Source organism: Homo sapiens, chromosome 15, assembly GCF_000001405.40.
Source record: "Homo sapiens chromosome 15, GRCh38.p14 Primary Assembly".
In the NCBI taxonomy this organism is placed as follows: Eukaryota; Metazoa; Chordata; class Mammalia; order Primates; family Hominidae; genus Homo; species Homo sapiens.
In genome coordinates this window covers 88,971,693-88,994,274 of record NC_000015.10, presented here as the reverse complement: position 1 = coordinate 88,994,274, position 22,582 = coordinate 88,971,693, and the positions used below count along the sequence as shown (strand labels likewise).

At 45.3% G+C, this 22,582-nt stretch overlaps 1 pseudogene, besides 4 other annotated features; it reads left to right on the top strand.

Annotated features, from left to right (window-relative positions):
• Positions 207 to 1,108: an enhancer, noted in NCBI's record as "OCT4-NANOG-H3K27ac-H3K4me1 hESC enhancer chr15:89536398-89537299 (GRCh37/hg19 assembly coordinates)". NCBI's record gives its function as "activates a minimal SCP1, AML or CMV promoter by ChIP-STARR-seq in primed H9 embryonic stem cells {active_cell/tissue: H9 hESC(primed)}" and the evidence as "EXISTENCE:reporter gene assay evidence [ECO:0000049][PMID:30033119]".
• Positions 3,967 to 5,053, top strand: LOC100129942 (capping actin protein of muscle Z-line subunit alpha 2 pseudogene; annotated as a pseudogene).
• Positions 6,970 to 7,189: a transcriptional cis regulatory region, noted in NCBI's record as "candidate enhancer chr15.3129 targeted for multiplex CRISPR interference". NCBI's record gives its function as "positively regulates HAPLN3 and MFGE8 gene expression with high confidence in K562 cells {active_cell/tissue: K562}" and the evidence as "EXISTENCE:mutant phenotype evidence [ECO:0000015][PMID:30612741]".
• Positions 7,947 to 8,837: a transcriptional cis regulatory region, noted in NCBI's record as "candidate enhancer chr15.3128 targeted for multiplex CRISPR interference". NCBI's record gives its function as "positively regulates MFGE8 gene expression with high confidence in K562 cells {active_cell/tissue: K562}" and the evidence as "EXISTENCE:mutant phenotype evidence [ECO:0000015][PMID:30612741]".
• Positions 18,050 to 18,250: a silencer, noted in NCBI's record as "peak2418 fragment used in MPRA reporter construct". NCBI's record gives its function as "represses an SCP1 promoter by STARR-seq MPRAs in K562 erythroleukemia cells {active_cell/tissue: K562}" and the evidence as "EXISTENCE:reporter gene assay evidence [ECO:0000049][PMID:32103011]".

Below are 22,582 nucleotides of genomic sequence, written 5' to 3'. Positions count from 1 at the left end.
TATGGTTCCTTCCGGTGGGTTCGTGGTCTACGCTGACTTCAAGAATGAAGCTGCGGACCTTCGCCCTGAGTGTTACAGCTTAAAGTTGGCACGAACCTAAAGAGCAAAAGAACAAAGCTTCCACAGCATGGAAGGAGACCCAAGTGGGTTGCCTGCTGCAGGCTGGTGGTGTAGGGGGGTGTGGGGGTGGGGGCAGTTTTTATTCACTTATTTGTCCCTGCCCATGTCCTGCTGATTGGTCCATTTTACAAACCTGTAGCTAGTTACAGAAAAGTTCTCCAAGTCCCCACTTGACTCAGGAAGTCCAGCTGACTTCACCTCTCACCGGTGAATTGGTGGTGGGATTGGATTTGGACATGAGGTTGACTCCCAAATCCCTCCTCTCCCATATTCTTTCTGTTTTGTGAGAGGCAGGGTCTTGGTGTGTTGCCCAGGCTGGAGTGCAGTGGTGCGATATAGACTCACTGCAGCTTCGACCTCCTGGGCTCAGGCCATCCACCTCAGCCCCCGGAGTAGCTAGGATCACTAGCTAGCACCACTACACCTGGCTAATTTCACTTTTTTTTTTTTTTTTAGACACAGGGTCTCACTAAGTTGCCCGGGCTGATCTTGAACTGCTCAAGAGATCCTCCCACCTTGGCCTCCCAAAGTGCTGGGATTACAGGCATGAGCCACTATGCCAGGCTCTCTATATTCTATTTTTTTTGAGGCAGGATCTCACTTTGTCGCCCAGGCTGGAGTGCAGTGGCGCTATCACAGCTTACTGCAGCCTTAACTTACCAGGCTTGAACAATTTTCCCACCTCAGCCTCCTCAGTAGCTGGGACTACAGGTGCATGCCATCATACCTAGCTGATTTTTGTGTTTTTTGTAGAGATGGGGTTTCATCATGTTGCCCATGCTGATCTCAAACTCTTGAGCTTAAGCCGTCTGCCTGCCTCTCCCTTCCAAAGTGCTGGGATTACAGGTGTGAGCCACTGTGCCTGGCTCCTCCATATTCTTAAATGTTAATTGAGGAGAGCAAAAATCTCCTGGTGACCATCAAGCAGACCTCCGGAGACAAAAACCCCTGTCTCTGAGGAATTTAGACGTAATTAGGCTTCCCTATTATCTAAAGGCACCTGGTTCCAGGCCTCTTTTCAAGTTAAAATTAGTAAGTAACTAGAATTTCTATACATCTCTGGAATGCATGCATGCAGAACCCTTGCTGATATCAAGGCACCAAATGTCTAAAAATGTAATCATTTATCGTGCAAATTACCCTTCAGCTCCTGCTTTAGGTCCATAAATACCCCTGTGGAAAAGTCCGCTGTGATGCGCTCTGTCCTGTCTCGCTGAGGCCTCCACTGAACTCTGCTGCAGGGTTCCTTCTAACAAAACTTTCCTTTTTCTTTCTTTCTTTCTTTCTTTTTAAGATGGAGTTTCGCTGTTGTTGCCCAGGCTGGAGTGCAGTGGTGCGATCTTGGCTCACCGCAACCTCTGCCTCCCGGGTTCAAGTGCTTCTCCTGCCTCAGCCTCCCAAGTAGCTGGGATTACAGGCATGCACCACCACACCCGGCTAATTTAAAACTTTCCTTTTTCAAACTTATACTGTCAGTAAATTCTTCTTACTAACCCGCAAGTCGACCACTTTCCGAAGCCAGAGCTCTGACATGTCGCCTGGCATTAATAATTGTTGAAGGTGGATGATGGGTCCTGTATGGAGCCTAATGATCTGTTCAATCCATTGTAAAGGAAAAGAAAAATCTCAGAACCCCAAAACTCTTTGTACCAAAGTGAAGCCTGGAGACTGAGTCATGCAGTAACACCAACCTTTTCCCAAGCGGAGAGCTGCTGTTTCACAGGCTTGTGTTAAAGCATTATACATTAGCCAGACTCCCACAAGGAGACGAAAAGTCTCACGACTGCCCTCACAAATTGCTCATAAATTCTTTGCTGGCCCCTAAACCTTTCAAGATATATAGATCCTCCCATAAAACAAGCACATATTAAGTATAACTTTAGGTTTGTAACCTAAGCCTAACCCCTAAAACTAAAGTCTGTTAGATTTTTCACACTGAGAAGTTCGATTACAAACTCACCTCCTAACTCCCTCTTCCTAGGTGTCTTCTTCCCTTTAAAGACATTTGTAAATTCTGAAAACTGCTTCTAAGAGCATGGGCCACAGATGTTTCTGTGGCCTGTTTCTCCTGGGTGTGACCTCAAACTCTCACTCAACAAATCTCGATGAACTGAGACCCCTGGCTCAGTCTCTAATTTTGGGTTAACACTGTCTTAGTTCTGAAGTGGAATATCTGGCTGGGTTTAGGAACCAAATTAAATACAAGAAAGATTAACAAGAGAAAAGCATTCAAGTTTTTTGTTGTTTGTTTGTTGTTTTTGAGACGGAGTCTAGCTCTGTCACCGAGGCTGGAGTTCAGTGGTGTGATCACAGCTCACGGCAGCCTCAAATTCCTGGGCTCAAGGAATCCTCCCACCTTAACCTCCCGAGCAGCTGGGACTACAGGCATGCCATACCCAGCTAGTATTTACATTTTTTGTAGAGAGAGTCTCCCTATGTTGCCCAGGCTGGTCTTGATCTCCCAGGCTAAAGCGATCCTCCTGTCTTGGCCTTCCAAAGTGCTGGGATTACAGGCGTGAGCCACCAAGCCCAGCTACAAGTTTTATTAATTTTACATACACATGAGGATCTTCACAAGAGAGTGAAGACCTAAGAAATGACCAAAGCAGAAAGCCTTTTGGACAAAGAATGATCAGTTTTATGAAGGCACTGGGAGAACAGGGGTGTGGGGGGGAGAATGGGCTGGAGCCATGGGAAGTTTGCGCCCTTTGCAGGGGAGAGGAACCTGGCCTCTCCTGTTCCTGGGTGGTAACCTGGGATTCAATCTGTGAGGCGGGAAGCCTGCTAGCAGGACTCTTGCTTTGCTAAGAATCCCTGTTCCCTTTTTTTTGTTGTTCCTTTTCACCCAATAAATCCTACCCTTCTCACCCTTCAAAGTGTCTGTGAGCCTGTCATGACTGTGAGAAAAGAACCCAGTTTTTTCCACAACACTAATGAGAGACCACTGGATGTGTAGACATAAATGACTGCAGCCATTATTCTGGAGGTCATGAGATATGCCAATTCCAGCCAGATACGGTGACTCACACCTGTAATCCCAGGACTTTGGGAGGCTAAGGCAGGAGGATCTCTTGACCCCAGGAGTTTGAGACTAGCCTGGGCAATATACTGAGACCTTGTCTCTATTTATTTAAAAAAAAATTATTTTACACAAAGATATGGGTTGGGCGCAGTGGCTCATGCCTGTAATCCCAACACTTTGGGAGGCTGAGACGAGAGGATCACTTGAGGTCAGGAGTTCCAGACCAGCCTGGCCAACATGGTGAAACCCCATCTCTACTAAAAATATAAAAATTAGCCAGGCATGGTAGCACACACCTGTAATCCCAGCTACTCGGGAGGCTGAGGTGGGAGAATGGCTTGAACCCGGGAGGCAGAGGTTGCAGTGAGCCGAGATAGTACCACTGCAGTCCAGCCTGGCAGCAGAGCAGAACAAAAAAAAAAAAAGAGAGAGAAGAAAAGAAAAAAAAGCTATGCAAATTTCCCAGTTATTCCTGCAGATAACATCATTATGACAGAACCTAAGATTGGCCTTTTGAGATGTCTTGTTGCATTTCTGACAACCGATGACTCCACGAGGACCGGCCAGCTGCTCCTGTGGCCCCACCCAGAAGCAACTCACTACACGAAGACCATTTTCCACACCCCTATGATTGCACCCCGAGCCAATCAGCAGCAAGCACCCATTGCCCAGCCACCCGCCCTTCCCCCAAACTGTCCTCGAAAAACCTCAGCCTCCAATTTTTGAGGAGGCTGATTTAAGTAATAATAAAACTCCGGGGGTGGTGCGCGGCGCCGAGCACCGCACGGAAAGGGGTAAGTCACGTGGCCACTGCCCCCGCCCCCGCCACAGTTTGTTGCTAGAAGGAAGATGGCGGGTCTGGAGGAGGAGCTGTCTGATGAAGAGAAGGGAAAAAGCAGCCCGTGCGTCTGCACAGTATAACTTGGAGCAGTTTACTCCTGTAAAAATGGAAGGTTATGAAGATCAGGTATTGATGACAAAACATGGCGACTTGGGAAATGGAAAGTTTTAGGATCCAAAGAACAGAATCTGTTTTAAATTTGATCACTTAAGAAAGGAGGCAACTGATCCAAGACCCTGTGAAGTAGAAAATGCAATTGAATCATGGAGAACTTAAGTAGAAACTACTCTGTGAGCTTACGTAAAAGAACATTACCCGAATGGAGTCTGCACTGCGTATAGCAAAAAAAAAAAATAGATGGACAGCAAACCACTATTGCATGCATAGAAAGCCATCAGTTCCAAGCAAAAAACTTTTGGAATGGTCATTGGAGGTCAGAATGGAGGTTTATAATCACTCCTTCAACCACTCAAGTGGTTGGCATCTTGAAAATTCAGGTTCATTATTATGAAGACAGTAATGTTCAGCTAGTGAGTCATAAAGATATACAAGATTCCCTAACAGTGTCTAATGAAGTGCAAACAGCAAAAGAATCTACAAAGATTGTAAAAGCTGCAGAAAATGAATACCAGACTGCCATTAGTGAGAATTATCAGACAATGTCGGACACTACTTTCAAAGCCTTACATCGACAATTGCTACTTACACGCACTAAGATTGATTGGAACAAGATCCTTAGCTACGAGGTTGGCAAAGAGATGCAGAATGCATAAGATGGACATTGCATGACCCCATCATTTTAGTGTCTTTGCGTTAAAAAACTATTGCAAAAGTATTCTGAACTGTCAAGCTGCCCAGTCTGATGGGCTGTTGCCATTTTAAATCACTGTAATTAGTTTGATTAGAGCACAAAGCTTAGCTAATCCACCATTATTTTTCATTTTGTTCTAAGAGGATTGAAAATCAGTTTAGTTTAAATGTCTTACTTTCTGTTAGTCCTTTCTTTCGTACAATGAAGAGATGATTCTCTAGTTTATGGTTAAAAGTTTTTGAAGTGTTTCAAAAATATTTTACTTACTGTAACCCTAAAATTGTTATCTTTTGGTTTATGAAATGGTTAATTTTTGATATTTCCCCAGTTAGTGTTTGATGGATTTAGCCATATAGGCTGCTAAAGAAATTGTCTACCTTTTCTTCCTCACCTGTTCCATTTATGTAAGGTTGAGATTAGAGGGAAAACATTTTCTATATCAATTGTGTTTTTAAACCTTTCAAGAAGGTTATTTAGCTTAGTATTTAACTTAATTTTTTTTAAACAAGGCAAGGTCTAATGCTGTTTTGAGATTCTGAAATTAAATGAAAATACTTATTTCAGAAATGCATTTAATGCTTTTTTTCTTGTGACAGTTACGCAAATCAGCTTGAATTCCATATGTCCCTGAGTTATTTTTATCATAAAGCCACAAATGTATTATAACAAGGCAAATTGTAATATATATAATCCTGAACTCAAAAAGAAAAAAGAAAAAAAACTCCGATCTTCTGTGTAGCCGGCCCTACGTCTATAAAATTCTTTCTCTATTGCAATTCCCCTGCCTTGATAAATCTACTCTATCTAAGCAGCAGGCAAGAAGAACCCATGGGGAGGTGACAAAAGGGTGGCTCAGAAGGTCCTATCTTATCTACAACTGCTGCTTCTCAGATGCTTTCGGCTTGAAATAATCAATATGCCAGGTCAGGGTATTTTGGGGTGTTATGTCCTTAACTCCTTTGGTCCAAAGAGTTGATTTTACTAATCATTCTCCTTGTGTGTATTTGAAAATTGCCTTCAAAACAAAACCCATGCCTTAACCACTGTGTGGTCCCAACTTAGCAGGTTACTGTAGGTTTCTGAGATGGGTGGGGGAAGGGAAAGGAGGGGGAGGGTTGAACTTGGGTTAGCCAAATTCCTCAAACGTTTGTAGCTGTAGAACCCCTTTTGTTTTATTTGAAGCATTTTTAAGAGACTAGTAATCGAAGACCTTTCTTTGGGAAGCTGATGTCTCACTCCCTGGGAGGATGCTCAGCCTTGCCTGGCCTGGTGCCCTCAGAGAGCTGCCTTCTGTGGCTCTTGCGCTGGGGTCGGTAACAGCAGGAAGCCTGTTGACAGGTAACAGCAAGAGAACAGGGGCGGGGGTGCTGGGTCTGGGGAGAGGGCTCTCAGCGACCTGCTTATAGCTACAGGAACCTTCCAAGCAAGCACAGAGGAGACCTCTCTGAGTAGTGGCCTGGGAGGAGCAGGCAGGCCCCTGGGCAAGGGAATGGGTGGTTACAGCACTTCCAGGTCACTGCAGAAGACAGAAGGGGAACACGGCAAGTCAGGCTGGGACTTGAAATTTCCTGAGTTCATTATGCTAATTTATCTTTGTACACTTTCCCACACAGCAGCTCACTCCATCTCCACAACGCTTCAGGAAGTGGGCAACGTGGATGCTGCGCCTCCCAGTTTTCAGCACTGAGGGGAGAGTTTCTGTGACTTGTCAAGGTCACACAATCAAAGGTCACAGAAGGGAGGGCACCATGGGAGCCCAGGATGTCCATGCTCTTTCTACTCTGTCACTCAGCATCGGCGGGTTTGGAATCTTTAATTTTGGGGGATCCATTTGGTCTAGAAAGTGTGGGTGCGGCCTGAGGTTGCCTGGGAGAGGCAGACAAAGCCGGCTGAGTGCCCCTGGGAGGGGGGTGCCTCATGCAAGCTGTGCAATGCCTCAGACAGGAGCGGGAGTGCCTCATGCAGGCTGTGCAATGCCCCAACAGTAGAGGGGGTGCCTCATGCAGGCTGTGCAATGCCTCAGACAGGAGAGGGGGGTGCCTCATGCAGGCTGTGCAATGCCCCAACAGGAGAGGGGGTGCCTCATGCAGGGTCTGGTTTAGGAGGCAAGAGGCTGGATTCATGAACTGTGAGCGAGGGAATTGAATGTGGAGGAGGGGGCCTGAGTCCGGGAGGGGCAGAGAGCAGATCCAGGAAAGGGTTCCTGTGCCTTGGAGTCCTGATGGGCCAGATGCGTCCCCGGTCTGAGCCCAGCCTGCAGTGCAGGCCCAGCTGGGTGGAGGCACCGCCCCGTGAAGACACCACCCCGGGGCTCCAGGCTGATTCAGACCCTGGACGCCCCTTTACCGGGTCCTCACCTCCCACATGCCATCAGCTGCTGCTCCCTCTGGTATTGTTTACTTCTCTCTGGGTTTATTTACTCAGTCCCCAACCCCCTCATTATTGCCTTGTGTTATCACCCAGAGTTTTACCGTGAGTAAAACCTACCTGTTTTGTTTCTTTGTTTCACAACTTTCTTAAAAGTGAAAATAAAAATAAGAAAGAAGTCATTTGGATGTTTACAAAAAAACAAAACAAAACAAAACAGAAACAAGGTGGGCTCCTATCACCTTGGCTTGGAAAGGGGTGGGCACCAGTTACACTCCCGAGAGGCAGGAGCAGAGCTGTGACTCCAGCTTGATTAGTTTACCATGGTAAAGTGTGCATAATGTAAAATTCATCATTTTAATCATTTTAATTTATTACTTATTTATTTTTAGAGACAGGGTCTCTCTCGCCCAGGCTGGAGTGCAGTTGCATGATCATAGCTCACTGTAGCTTCAAACTCCTGGGCTCAAGCAATCCTCCCACTTCAGCCTCCTGAGTAGCTGGGACTACAGGAGGGGACCACTGTGGCAGGCCAGGTCTCACTAACGCAGGCTTCCAGCGCAGCTGTTTCAGTACTGACTGAGTGGTTAGGTTAAATATTAAAAGCTGAAGAAAAGCCAGTACCCTTATACAAATGATACAGGAGTTATTAAGAAATAATTTTTAGGCAGATAGTAAGTGCAAAGGTTCTTGGTGGAAATTTTCTTGTAATAAGAAACAACCCCTGAACCATCTCTTTTCTAACAGAAAAGGTGGCTCGAAGGGCTGGGCCAGCAAGCTTTAATATGCAAATGCCAGCCATTAGAAACTGGGCTCACTCAATATGGCGATTCCCACCATCTTCTCCTTGTAACCGGGAGTACCAAGTGTCATGGCCACCTCCAGATAACACCATGTGTTCGGAATATCATGGCGACCCGCATTTGCATATTAGAGGACTAAGGTGGGAGGGCCAGGTTTTTTGAGGGCTGTGTAAATGACTCACCTGGTCCAACCAATCCCCTGGGTCTTATGGAAACCAGACACCACCTCCTCCAGCATCGCAACATAAGCAACCACTTTTCTGCCACACATGGGGTTTTCTTTTTGTTGGAATCCCCCCTCCCTCTGTCTCTGTATGGGGGAGTTTTCCTCTTCCTTCCTTCTTTCTTGCCTGTTAAACTTTTCGTGCCTTAAAGTCACTCCACGTGTGTCCATGTCGTTAATCCTATCAGTGTGAGACAGAAGACGCTGGTGTTCCTCCAGTCATCGGAACCGTATCACAAAGGCTGGAATGTAACAAAAGCCCACCAAGAGTTTTGCCTAGGCCTTTTCTGGGCCTTAAAGCATGACAAAATAATGAAGGAATTCTTAACAGGACCCATTTAGAATTAAACAAGTTTTATTGGGGTTCTGAAGAAACTCCCCAGGCCTCCACAAACATGGTTATTGGAGGTCTGAAGGAACTCCTCAAACCTCCATGATTTAGCAGGAGACAAGATAAGGGTAATCACCCCAGCACAGCACCCAGACCCATTTAGATTAACTTACTGAGGCTCCTGAAGAAGGTCTTCCGGACTCAGACCTTAGTTGTAGAGTAAAAGAAGTTAATCACTTATGTCTTTAGATGAATGCACACTTCCACACGGACATAGAGCTTAGAAGGTATATAAGCTCTGAAAAACTCTGTAGTTTTGAGTTGGTCTGGTGATAATTTCCAGGCCTTCTTTCTGTAACGGGTTACAGAAATAAAAACTCTCTTCCTCCCCAGTTCATCTGCATCTCATTACTGGGCCTCGAGAAATAGCAGACTGACCCTCAGTTTGGTCCAGGAACACCGCCATGCCCAGCTAATTTTATTTTTTAAAATTTTTGGTAGAGGCTGAGTCTCACTATGTCGCCCAGGCTGGTCTCCAACTCCTGGCCTCAAGGCATCCTCCTGCTTTGTACTCCCAAAACACTGGATTATAGGCATGAGCCATCATACCCAGTCATGCCATTTAACCATTTTAAGTGTATAACTCAGTAGCACTTAGTACATTCACAATTTTGTGCAAACTTACCCACTATCTAGTTCCAGCATATTCCATCATTCCAACATTCCAAATGGAAATCTTTCTACCTATGAAGCCGTCATTCCCCACTCCCCTTTTCCCCTACCCCCTGCAACCACCAATCTATTTTCTGTCTCTACAGATTTGCCTAGTCTGGGTATTTCATATAAATGGCATCATACGGCTGGGTGCGGTGGCTCACGCCTGTAATCCCAGCACTTTGAGAGGCCGAGGCAGGTGGATCAGGAGGTCAGGAGATCGAAACCATCCTGGCCAAAATGGTGAAACCCCGTCTCTACTAAAAATGCAGAAATTAGCCAGGCATGGTGGTGGTACCTGTAGTCCCAGCTACTACAGAGGCTGAGGCAGGAGAATCACTTGAACCCAGGGCGTGGGGGTTGCGGTGGGCTGAGATGGTGCCACTGCACTCCTACCTGGGTGACAGAGTGAGACTCCATCTCAAAAACAAATTAAAAAATAAATAAATGGCATTATACAATATAAGGCCTTTTGTATCTGTCTTCTTTCACTTAGCAGAATGTTTCTTAGGTTGGTTCATGTTGTAGCATGTAGTACTTCATTCCTTTTTATGACTGAATAATATTTCATTGCATGGATATTCCACTTTTATCCATTTATTGGTTGGTGACATCTAGTTGTTTCTACCTTTTGGCTATTGTGAAGAATGTTGCTGTGAACATTTGTGTATACGTTTTTGTTCGAACACTTGTTTTCAGTTCTTAGGAGTTGAATACCTGGGAGTGGAATTGCTGGATTACGCCGCTAATTCTATGATTAACTTAGGAACATTGGTTTGATTTTAGTTGCGTAACTCAGATTCTAATTTTATGTCACCATGCCTCAGTTTCCCTATAGGAGAGGGTGCAGAGGTGTCAGGTCAGACTGGTACCAGAGCCTGCCAGGCAAGGGCCACCTGCAAGGATAGAGAGACTGTGTCTCCCATTGTGCTAGTTCTCCCCTTCTTGTTCCCTGGCTGCTAGGAATGTGCATGATAATGACCAGCATGGATTCAGTGCTTACCAAGTTCCAGACGCCATTCCCAATGGGAAGTGTGAATGAAATGGCACTTGTCCTTTTACCTGAAATCCTTCCTCATGGCACTCTCATCCATTTTATTTCATTTTTATTTATTTATTTATTTAGAGACAGGGTCTTGCCCTGTCGCCTAGGCTGGAGCACAGTGGCACGATCACGGCTCACTGCAGCCTCAACTTCCTGGGCTCAAGCAATCCTCCAGCTTCAGCCTTCTGAGTACCTGGGACTACAGGCATGCACCATCACACTCGGCTAATTTTTAAATTTTTTATAGATACGGGATCTCGTTATGTTCCTCAGGCTGGTCCTGACCTCCTGGGCTCAGGCGATCTTCTTGTCTTGGCCTCCCAAAATGCTGGGATTACTGGTATGAGCCACTGTGCCCAGCCCTTCATCTATTTGAATATTATTTCAGTCATTTCATCAAATGTCCAGGTGTGTATGGAATGGCGAGGTTATGTAACAAGGTTTGGCTTCCTGTGTCCCAGACCCCCTTAGTCACTCTTGTGGGAACGCTCTTGTGTCTGGGACCCCAGGACTTATGGGAGGGGCAATATGATATAGTGACTATGCTACCTCCTGGCTGTGTGACCTCGGCCAAATTCCTTAACTGCCTATACCTGAGTTCTCCATCTATCAAATAAGAGCACTTTTTAAAATAGGGTTGTTGTGAGGATAGAAGTTAGTACACGTAACAGAGAGGTCCATGTTCTAACCCCAAAACCTGTGAATGTCACCTTATTTGGGAAAAGAGTCTTTGCAGATGTAATTAAGTCAGGGATCTTGAGATAAGGAGATCATCTTGGATTATCCAAGTGGGCCCTAAATCCAATGACAATGACAGGGGCAGAAGAGGAGGAGACATGCAGGGAGGAGGAGACATGCAGGGAGGAGGAGGTTGGAGTGAGGCAGCCACACACCAAAGAACACCTGGGGCCACCAGGAGCTAGAAGGGTCAAGGAAGGAGTCTCCTCTTGAGCCTTTGGAGGGAGCTTGGCCCAGCCAAATACCTTTTCAGGTTCCGGTTTCCAGAACTGTGAGAAAATAAGTTCTTGTTGTTTTAAGCCACCCAGTGTCTGGCAATTTATTACAGCATCCACAGGAAACTAATACAATGCTTAAAGCAGGACTCTTCTTAAGGAAGTGAGAGTGAGCTGCTATTATGTTAGGGTTAGCTATGATTTTGCTCTCTGAGCTGTGTCAACCACAGCCCAGAGAGTGCTGGGCCACAGGAACCTCTGGGCCGTATGCTGGGACTACAGGTGGCTCTGGGCTCTCTGCAGCTTTTTAAATGGTCACTCAGGCTCCCACGCCTAGTGGATACTTCCTCTCCTGAGGATTGACTCAGAATTTCAGAAGACCTCTGGACTCAGGCCAGTTCCCACAGCATCATGGAATATCTGGCTACAGGGAGTCCTCCTGGGAGCTCTAGCAGGGGCCTGGGGCTGGGGCTGCGGCTGCAGCTCTAGCAACCTTCAGGGACAGTGGGGCTGTCCATCCTACACTGCCCCGTGCCAGAAGGTCTGTTCTGACCCAGTGTGCCCTGTCCCCTTAGATGCAGTGCCAGAGCCATCTGATTCAGGGCCGTCACCCTTGTCTAGAGCCAGCTTATCTGATGCCAGGTCAGAAGGCCTCGGCAGGAAATGCTGCCTCCCACTTTGTTCTTTTTTTTTTTTTTTTTTGAGCTGGAGTTTCGCTCTTGTTGCCCAAGCTGGAGTGCAATGGCGTGATCTTGGCTCACTGCAACCTCCGCCTCCCAGGTTCAAGCAATTCTCCTGCCTCAGCCCCCCGAGTAACTGGAATTACAGGCATGCACCACCACGCCCAGCTAATTTTGTATTTTTAGTAGAGATGGGTTTTCTCCATGTTGATCAGACTGGTCTCAAACTCCCGACCTCAGGTGATCCACCCACCTCGGCCTCCAAAAGTGCTAGGATTACAGGTGTGAGCCACCGCGCCTGGCCCCACTTTGTTCTTGAGGAAGGATCAGGCTGAAATTCTAGGAATTTCCAAATGGACTGGGTTGGCTGGAGGGAAGAGGAAGTTAAAGGAATGTGAGGCTCAGGACTTGGGGTCTAGCTGGGAAGATGGTGAATCCCTCTTCAGTCCAGTGAGTGAGAAGCCCCTTCTGGCTTCCAGCACTTCGACAGGAGCCGCACAGGATGCCAAAGGTCCGTTTATTCCTGTTCTCCGCAGGGTCTGCCCTCTCAGGATTTCAAAGCATTTATAGTGTCTCAATCATTGTGTTTGCTCAGTGGATGGATCACTGCTTTTAAGACATCAAGTAAAAATGTAAAGAGCCTAACAATGGTTAGTGAGTCATTTTATAACTAGAATTATTACCCACTGGCTTATTCTCGCTTCCAAAATTTGGGTTTTTGTAAATTGAGTTTTCTGAAGTGGTTACGTATTTAAAAGGAAAAAAAGGAGAAAAATAAATTCTGCAGTCATACGTTCCAAAGAAGTAGCTACTATATATTATTCGGGACTTTCTATGTGCCAGAAACTATTTCATTGATTGATTGATGGAGACAAGGTCTTCCTCTGTCGCCCAGGCTGGAATGCAGTGGTATGACCATGGCTCAGTGCAGCCTCAATCTCCCAGGCTCAAGCAATCCTCCCACCTCAGCCTCCTGAGTAGCTGGGACTACAGGCTCATGCCACCACTCCCGGCTCCTTTTTAAATTTTTTATAGAGATAGAGTCTTGCTATGTTACCAGGACTGGTCTTGAACTCCTGGGCTCAAGCAATCCTCCCACCTCAGCCTCTCAAAGTGTTGGGATTACAGGCATGAGCCATCATGCCCAACTCAGGCACTATTTTAAATCATTAAATATATTATCTCTTTTAATCTTTATAGTTACTCTGTGTGATAAGCATGATCATGCATCACTTAACAACAGGGATATGCTCTTTGAAATGCATCATTAGGTGATTTCTTTGTTGTGAGAACATCATAGAGTGTCCTACACAAACGTAGATGGCATGGCCTACTACACACCTAGGCTATATGGTGTAACCTATTGCTCCTAGGCTACAAACCTGTATAGCATGTTACTGTACTGAATACTGTAGGCAATTGTAACACAATGGTAAGTTTTGTGTATCTAAACATGTCTAAACATAGAAAAGGTACAGTAAAAATACTGTAAAAAAGATTAAAAATGGGCCCGGCGTGATGGCTCCTGACTGTAATCCTAGTGCTTTGGGAGGCCAAGGCAGAAGGAATGCTCGAGGCCAGGAGTTCAAGATTAGCCTGGGCAACATAGTGAGACCCCGTCCCTAAAATTTTTAAAAAAAATTAGCCAGGCCTGATGGCATGTACCTGTAGTCCTAGCTTCTTGGGAGGCTGAGGAAGGATGATCACTTGAGACTAGGAGTTTGAGATCAGCCTGGGCAACACAGCAAGACCCCATCTCAAAAAAGAAAAGAAAAAAATGGTATGGTATACATATGGTACATGTATATAGGGCACTTACCATGAATGGAGTTTGCAGGACTAGAAGTTGCTCTGAGTGAGTTCATCAGTAAACAGTGAGTGAATATGAAGGCCTAGGACATTACTATACATGTTTGTATGACTACAGCACAGTGGGTTTGTTTACACCAGCATCACCCCAAACATACAAGTAATATGTTGTGCTATCACCCTCAACATGTGAATAATGTCAGCAGCTATAATGTCACTAGGTGATAGGAATTTTAAGTTCCATTATAATTTTTTTTTTTTGAGACGGAATTTTGCTCTTGTTGCCCAGGCTGGAGTGCAATGGTGCACTCTTGGCTCACCGCAACCCAGGTTCAAGCGATTCTCGTGTCTCAGCCTCCTGAGTAGCTGGGATTACAGGCATGCACCACCATGCCCAGCTAATTTTGTATTTTTAGTTGTGGGGGTTCAGTCAGGTTGGTGGGGAAAATTATAAGCCACAAACCTTCTTGGAAGGCCTGAAGGTTTTTGCAAAAGTCTCAGGATAAGGTTATGGCTGAAGGCAACCTAATTCTTACCTTGAGTAAATAGCTTAAAGTGGGTACAAAGGAAGGTAGAGTAGTTTATCTAACTAGCTTGTTTATTCATGTGGTCTTAAGACCAACCTTTGATCATTCACCGGTGCGTGGTAGCTCCCTCCAGGGTGGGGGCGACCAGGTTAATTACTTACCCACAGGTGTGTTTACTCACGACCTTTCTCAATTAATCCTTACTGAATGCAAGTCTCGCTGATAAGTCGAGGCCATGGCTGCTGACTCTGTACAGAACCTTCCTTGGTGTCTGTAAGTGGCACGGACACTCAGCCGGATTGGCAAAGCAGAATATCTATATGTCAATGTACATTATTCATCCATTGTTGGGTCAGGGTCTGCAGGACAGACCCCCGCATTTAGTAGAGATGGGGTTTTTCCATATTGGTCAGGCTGGTCTCGAACTCCCGACCTCAGGTGATCCACCTGCCTCGACCTCCCAAAATGCTGGGATTACAGGAGGGACCCACCGCACCTGGCCCCATTATAATCTTATGGGACCACTGTCATATATGCAATCCATTGTTTACTGAAATGCTGTTTGTGACACATGATGTACTATTATTATTATTATTATTATTATTATTGTTGTTGAAACAGGGTCTCACTTTGTCACCCAGCCTGGAATGCAGTTGCACAAACATGGCTCACTGCCGCCTCGACCTCCTGGGCTCAAGTGATCCTCTTGCCTCAGCCCCCCACAAGTAGCTTGGACTACAGGTGTGCACCACCATGCCCAGCTAATTTTGTTTTTTGTATTTTTTTGTAGAGACAGGGCTTTGTCATTTTGCCCAGGCTGGTCTCAAGCTCCCGAGTTCAAGTGATCCACCCGCCTCAGCCTCTCAAATTTTGGGATTACAGGTGTGAGCCACTGCACCTGGCCTGACTGTACTGTTATTTTACCCCCTTCTTAGGGATGGATCCAGGTTTTATGAAGCTTATAAAATAGAGACGGCCAGGCATGGTGGCTTATGCCTGTAATCTCAGCACTTTGAGAGGCCAAGGCTGTAGGATCACTTGAGCCTAGGAGTTCTAGATCAGCCTGGGCAACACAGTGAGACCCCCGTCTCTACAAAAAATAAAAAATTAGCCAGGCGTGGTGGTGCATGCCTGTACTCCTAGCTAAATTTGGGAGGCTGAGATGGGAGGATCACTTGAGCCTAGGAGTTCGATCATAGTGTGAGCTATGATCACGCCACTGCACTCCAGCCTGGGTGACAGAATGAGACTCTCTTAAAAAAAAAAAATTCAGAGGACTTTCTTTAAAAGATTAAATTGCAGTGATACAGTTATAATACAAAATTAGGTAGAGAGCCTTAGCAAGTAAGTAGTCCCAAAGCTTAAGCTTCATTAGCTTCATGGCCTGATTTGAGGATGGAGAAAATTAGTTTAGAAGAATCTAAGTTTTTTTGTCCAAGGTCACACAGCTCAGAATCAGTGGAGAGGGAATTGAAAGCCAGGTCTGCCCAACTTTTCATCAGCAAATTACCCTTCTCTGAAAACGGGAATAACACATATATAGCATTCACTATGTGCCACACACATAGGAAGCACTTTACATATTTTAAATAGTTAATTTTCACAACACGCTATTATGTAGGTATTATTTTCATCCTCCACTTTTATATATGAGGACATCGAGGCACGGAGTGGTTAAGTATTAATAACTTGCCCAAGCTCTCACAGCTAATTGATGGGAACCATAAGAAACAATGAGAACTGGTTTGCTGAGGCATCCTGTTTGAGTTTGTAGTAAACAGAAACTAGAAGATGCACCCTGAGCCTCATAAAAGGCAACTTGAGCCTGAACCTCTGCTTTATGGCTTCTTTAAGATCTTACTTTCTAATCCCAACCAAATCCTTGGCTCTCAGCCTGCCTCTGTGAGAGCTTTGTCAGGTAATTTGGTTCATATAATTAGGATTTAAAGGAGAATGAGAGGTCGGGTGCCGTGGCTCATGCCTGTAATCCCAATACTTTGGGAGACCAAGGTGGCAGGATCACTTGAGACCAGGAGTTCAAGACCAGCCTAGACAACATAGGGAGACCCTGTCTCTACAGAAAAAAAAAAAAAAAAATTAGCTGAGCATGGTGGTGTGCACTTGTAGTCCCAGCTACTCAGGAGGCTGAGGTGGGGAGATTGCATAAGCCTGGTAGGTCCAGGCTGCAGTGAGCTGTGATGGTGCCACTGCACCCTCACCTGGGTGGCAGAGCAAGACTCTTGTCTCAAATAAATAAATCAATACATAAAAATAAAAGAGAATGGACCAGGTGTGGTGGCTCACGCCTGTAATCCCAGCCCTTTGGGAGGCCGAGACAGGCAGATCACCTGAGTTCAGGAGTTCGAGACCAGCCTGACCAAAATGGAGAAACCCTGTCTCTACTAAAAATACAAAATTAGTCGGGTGTGGTGGTGCATGTCTGTAATCCCAACTACTCAGGAGGCTGAGGCAGGAGAATCTCTTGAATCCAGGAGGCGGAGGTTGCAGTGAGCTGAGATGGAGCCATTGCATTCCAGCCTGGGCGACAACAGCGAAACTCCGTCTCAAAAAAAATAAAATAAAATAAAATAAAATAAAAGAGAATGAATTGTACCCTAAAAAGATAGGGTGGTAAGTTTATCATAATTCATGATAAACTTTTTGGGGTCATACTCTTTGACCTAATAATTCTTATGGATGCCTGGTCTGAAGAAATCATCTTAAAGACAATGCTTTATGCATAATAGTGTTAACCATGCAGTGAAAACTGGAAAACAATTCATATGTTCAGCAATAGCACAATGGTTAAGCAAATCATGGATGAAGTATTAGACAACAAGCAAACAAAGTTTACAGAGAGGTATAATAACCTGGCAGAGTGCTTATGTTATGTTGTTAGGCTTTGAAAATCATCTATAAAATTATATGCATGTTTTACCAGTTGCTGTGTAACAAATCATTACAAAATGTAGGGCTTAAAACAACACACATTTATTATTTCAGAGTGCATGGGTCAGCCTAGGCTGGGTTCTTTTCTTCAGAGTTTGTCATGAGGTTACAATCAAAGTATTGCCCAGGGCTGTGTTCCCATCTGAAGACTTGACTGGTGCAGTATCTGCTCCCAAGCTCAGTCTCATAGATTTTGTCTGGATTTAGTTCCTTGAGGCTGTTGGAATGAGGCTTCCCTCATCTGACCAGGCAGCCGCCTCTATCAGGGCAGGCATGTGAGAAGAGCCAAAGAGAGAAAATGCTGGCACGATGCAATTCAGTCTTTTATGACCTAATCTTGAAATTGACATTGACACTTTTGCTGTATTCTATTTGTTAGAAGCAAGTCACTAACTAAGGTTCAGCCCACACTCAAGGTGAAGGAATTATAAAAAAGTGTGAGTACTAGAAGATGGGATGAATGAAAGCCATTTTAGAAGGCTGCCTATTATACAAGTCATAATTTTTAACTTTGTTAAAACCACATGGATAGGATAAAAGTTGGAAAGACATACACAGCAAAATGACTATTGTGGCTCTTTCTGAGTGAAGGATTTGGATATTGGTTCTTTCCTTCTTAAATGCTTCTGTACTGAATAGGCAACCTAGAAATAAATCCATATATTTAGACCCAACTGACTTTTGAGAGGACAAACATTGGGGAAAGGATACCCTCTTCAACCAATGGTGCTGGAAAACTGAATATACATACGAGAAAAATGAAACTAGATGCCTATCACCACATGCAAAACCAACTCAAAATGGATGAAACACTTAAATATAAGACTTGGAACTCTAAAGCTACCAGAAGAAAACAAGGGAAATGCTTCAGAACATTGCTCTAGGCAAAAATTTCATGGCAAAGACTCCAAAAGCACAGGCTACAAAAACAAAAGTAGAGAATTGAGTCTGTATTAGACTAAAAAGCTTCTGCTCAGCAAAGGAAACAATCAGCAGAGTGAAGAGACAACCTGTTGAATGGGAGAAAATTGCCAGCTGTTCATCCCACAGGGGACTAATATGCAGAATATACAAGGAATTCAAACAACTCAACAGTGAAAAACCAAATCCCATCAAAAAGTGGGCAAAAAGTCAGGTGTGGTGGCTCATGCCTGTAATCTCAGCACTTTGGGAGGCTCAGGTGGAAGAACTGCTTAAGCAGGAGTTCAAGACCAGCCTGGGCAACATGGTGAAACCCTGTCTCTACAAAAAATACAAAAATTAGCCAGGAGTGGTGGTACACACTGTAGGCTCAGCTACTAGGGAGGCTGAGGTGGAAGGATGGCTTGAGCCCGGGAGGTTGAGACTGCAGTGACCCAAGATTGCACCACTGCACACTCCAGCCTGGGCAACAGAGTGGGGCTCAAAAAAGAACATGGATAGACATTTCTCAAAAGAAGACATACAAATGGCCAACAGATATGTGAAAAAATGCTCAACAACACTAATTACCAAAAAAATGCAAATCAAAATCACAATGAGACGTTATCCCACCCCAGTTAAATGGCTATTACTAAAAGACAAAAAATAAATGCTGTGAGAATTCTGAGAAAAGGGAACTCTTATAGATGGTTGGTGGAAATGTAAATTATTATAGCCACTATAAAAAACAGTATGGGGGTTTCCTCAAAATCTGAAAATGGAATTATCATATGATCCAGCAATCCCAGTGCTGGGCATTTATCTAAGGGAAAGGAAGTCAGTATATTGAAGAGACACCTGCACCCTCATATTTATTGCAGCACTATTCACAATAGCTCAGATATGGAGTCACCATAGGTTTCCAACAACAGATTAATGGATAAAGCAAATGTGGTATATATTCATAGTAGAATGCCATTCAGTCATAAAAAAGAATGACATCCTGTCATTTGTGGCCATATGAGTGAGCCTGGAGGATGTTGTTACAAACAGATACGATGTTTTGTTTTGGGCAGACAAGAGAGGGTGGATCCCCACACCTGCCTTCCAGAAAAAAAAAAAAAAAATATATATATATATATATATATATTTTTGTTTGTTTGTTTGTTTGTTTTTTGTTTTGAGAGTCTTGCTCTGTTGCCCAGGAGTGCAACGGTGTGATCACTGCTCAATGCAGCCATGACCTCTCAAGCTCAAATGATCCTCCCACCTCAGCCTCCTGAGTAGCTGAGACCACAGGTGTGTGCCACCATGCCCAGCTAATTTTTTTTAAATGTAGAGATGAGGTCTCACCATGTTGCCAAGGCTGGTCTCAAACTCTTGGGCTCAAGCAATCCTCCTACCTCAGCCTCTCAAAGTGCTGGGATTACAGCCGTGAGCCACTGTGCCTGGCTGAAAAATATCCTTTATAAAGCAAGCTTTCTTGATAAAGCATGCTGCTGGTCATGCTTCAGACTTTCTTGCGAAATTTGTAACCACTGAGGAGGAGGTTAAACATTCTTATGAGGGGTTATCTATGTTATAGGCATTGCTTCTTTGTGAGGGGTAATCTATGCTATGTACATTGTTTAAAGACCTTGCTGCAGAAGCAGAAGTCAAACATTACTCATTATGGCAGTTTCACTTCAAAATGGTATCCTTCTTGCCAAGCAACAGGCTGTTTTCCTACAGGGCAGACGGTGAGAGGTTGGTTAATGGATACAAAATTACCGCTAGATAGGAGCAATGAGTTCTGGTTTTCTGCAGCCCTATAGGGTGAATATGATTAACTATATCTATCTATCTATCTATTTATTTATTTATTTAATTTATTTTTTTGAGACGGAATCTTGCTCTATCACCCAGGCTGGAGTGCAGTGGCGTGATCTCGGCTCACTTCAACCTCTGCCTTCTGGGTTCAAGCGATTCTCCTGCCTCAGCCTCCTGAGTAGCTGGGACTACAGGCACGTGCCACCATGCCGAGCTAATTTTTGTATTTTTAGTAGAGATGGGGTTTCACTGTGGTAGCCAGGATGGTCTTGATCTCCTGACCTCGTGATCCACCTGCCTTGGCCTCCCAAAATGCTGGGATTACAGGTGTGAGCCACTGTGCCCAGCCAACTATATATATATATATTTAATATTTTCATAAAGCTAGAAGGGAGGATTTTGAATGTTCATGTATTAGGCCATTCTTGCATTGCTCAAAAGAAATACCTGAGACTGGGTAATTTATAAAGAAAAGAGCTTTATTTATTTATTTTTATTTTATTTTATGTTTTGAGACAGAGTCTCGCTCTGTCGCCCAGGCTGGAGTGCAATGGTGTGATCTTGGCTCACTGCAACCTGGGTTCAAGCAATTCTCCTGCCTCAGCCTCCGGAGTAGCTGGAGTTACAGGCGCCTGCCACCATGCCTGGCTAATTTTTGTATTTTTAGTATTTTACAGACGGGGGTTTCACCATGTTCGCCAGGCTGGTCTCGAACTGCTGACCTTGTGATCTGCCCGCCTCAGCCTCCCAAAGTGCTGGGATTACAGGAGTGAGCCACTGTGCCCGGCCAGAAAAGAGCTTTAATTGGGTCTTGGTTCTATAGGCTGTACAGGAAACAATGTGCTAGCATCTGCTCTGCTTCCAGGGAGGCCTCAGGAAACTTACTATCTTGGTGGAAGGTGAAGAGGCAGTAGGCAGGTCACATGGGCAGAGCTGGAGCAAGAGAGAGATGAGGGAGTGCCACGCAAATGGCCAGATCTCGCGGGAACTCACTCACTATCATGAGGGCAGTACCAAGGGGATGACACTATATCAGTCATGAGAAACCTCCCCCACTGAGGCAGGAGAATAGGGTCTGGAAGCAGGCAACTTAAGGCCAGTTGGTGCTGACTTCCTAAAGCTGAATCGAGGGAAAACACAAGGTCTGGGGGCAGGGAATCTGAGACCAATTCACGATAATTTCCTAAAGCTGCATCAAAAGGGAAAAACACCTGGGTCTGGGGCAGGGACCCTAAATGCAGTTAACACCAACTTCCTACAGCTGAACCAAAAGGAACCCCACCCCCGCCCCCAACCACCACCTGAGTAGCAAAGGGTCAAAGGCTACTCTCCCTACACCCCTCCCCCTTCCACCACGTCTCAGATGGAAAGAGAGAGTGCCTTGAATTGGCAGCAGGCCAAGCACGGGCCATCCCTTCATCTGCAAGGGGCGCCAGTTCACCTCAGCCTTTAATTAGCCACAGGCCAAATCCTTCATCCAGATCAGGAGTAGCTGACAGGGACCTCAAATGGAGTATTTAACACCCAGAAAACTTTGTAACTGGGCCCTTCAGCCACTTGCTCCAGCCCACTCCCACCCTGTGGAGTGCTTTCTCACTTTTTTTTTTTTTTTTTAATTTATTGAGATGGGGTGTTGCTCTGTCACCCAGGCTGGAGTGCAGTGGCTCAATCTCAGCTCAATGCAACTTCTGCCGCTCGGGTTCAAGGGATTCTTGTGCCTCAGCCTCCTGAGTAGCTAGGACTACAGGTGCACACTACCATGCTCAGTTAAATTTTTGTATTTAGAGGCCGGGCGCGGTGGCTCACACCTGTAATCCCAGCACTTTGGGAGGCCGAGGTGGGCAGAACACGAGGTCAGGAGATCGAGACCATCCTGGCTAACACGGTGAAACTCCGTCTCTACTAAAACACAAAAAATTAGCCGGGCGTGGTGGTGGGCGCCTGTGGTCCCAGCTACTTGGGAGGCTGAGGCAGGAGAATGCTGCGAACCTGGGAGGCTGAGTTTGCAGTGAGCAGGGATTGCGCCACTGCACTCCAGCCTGGGTGACAGAGCAAGACTCCGTCTCAAAAAAAAAAAAAAATTGTTTTGTATTTAGAGTACATTGTGTTTGAGTATTTTGATGAGCCCAGGTTACCACATTCTCATTGCTTGGTTAGTTTCCAAGCTGGCATCCTGCTTCCCTCTCTGGTCCTTCCCAAGCCATCCTACCAAGGCATGACTCATGGCTTCCCATTGCCAGGACCTTAAGGCCCCTTGAGCTTTCAGCCTTTCAGCCTCTTCTCCCATCATGACCTCAGGCAAGTCTTTCTGCTCTAGCTGAACTAGGACTCTAAACATACGGAACTCATACCTGCCTCCTGCCTTGGCTATTACTGATCCTCCCCCTTGGAAGACCCTCTTCTTTTTTCTCTGCTTCAAGGACCAGTTTAAGTTTCACCAGCTCATAGGGCCTGATATGGTTTGGCTCTTTGTTCCCACCCAAATTTCATTTTTTTTTTTTTTTTTTTTTTTTTTTTTTTGAGATGAAGTCTTGCTCTGTTGCCCAGGCTGGAGTGCAGTGGCATGATCTCGGCTCATCACAACCTTCGCCTCCGGGGTTCTAGCAATTTTCCTGCCTCAGCCTCCCAAGTAGCTGGGACTACAGGCCCAGACTGCCACGCCTGGTTAATTTCTTTTT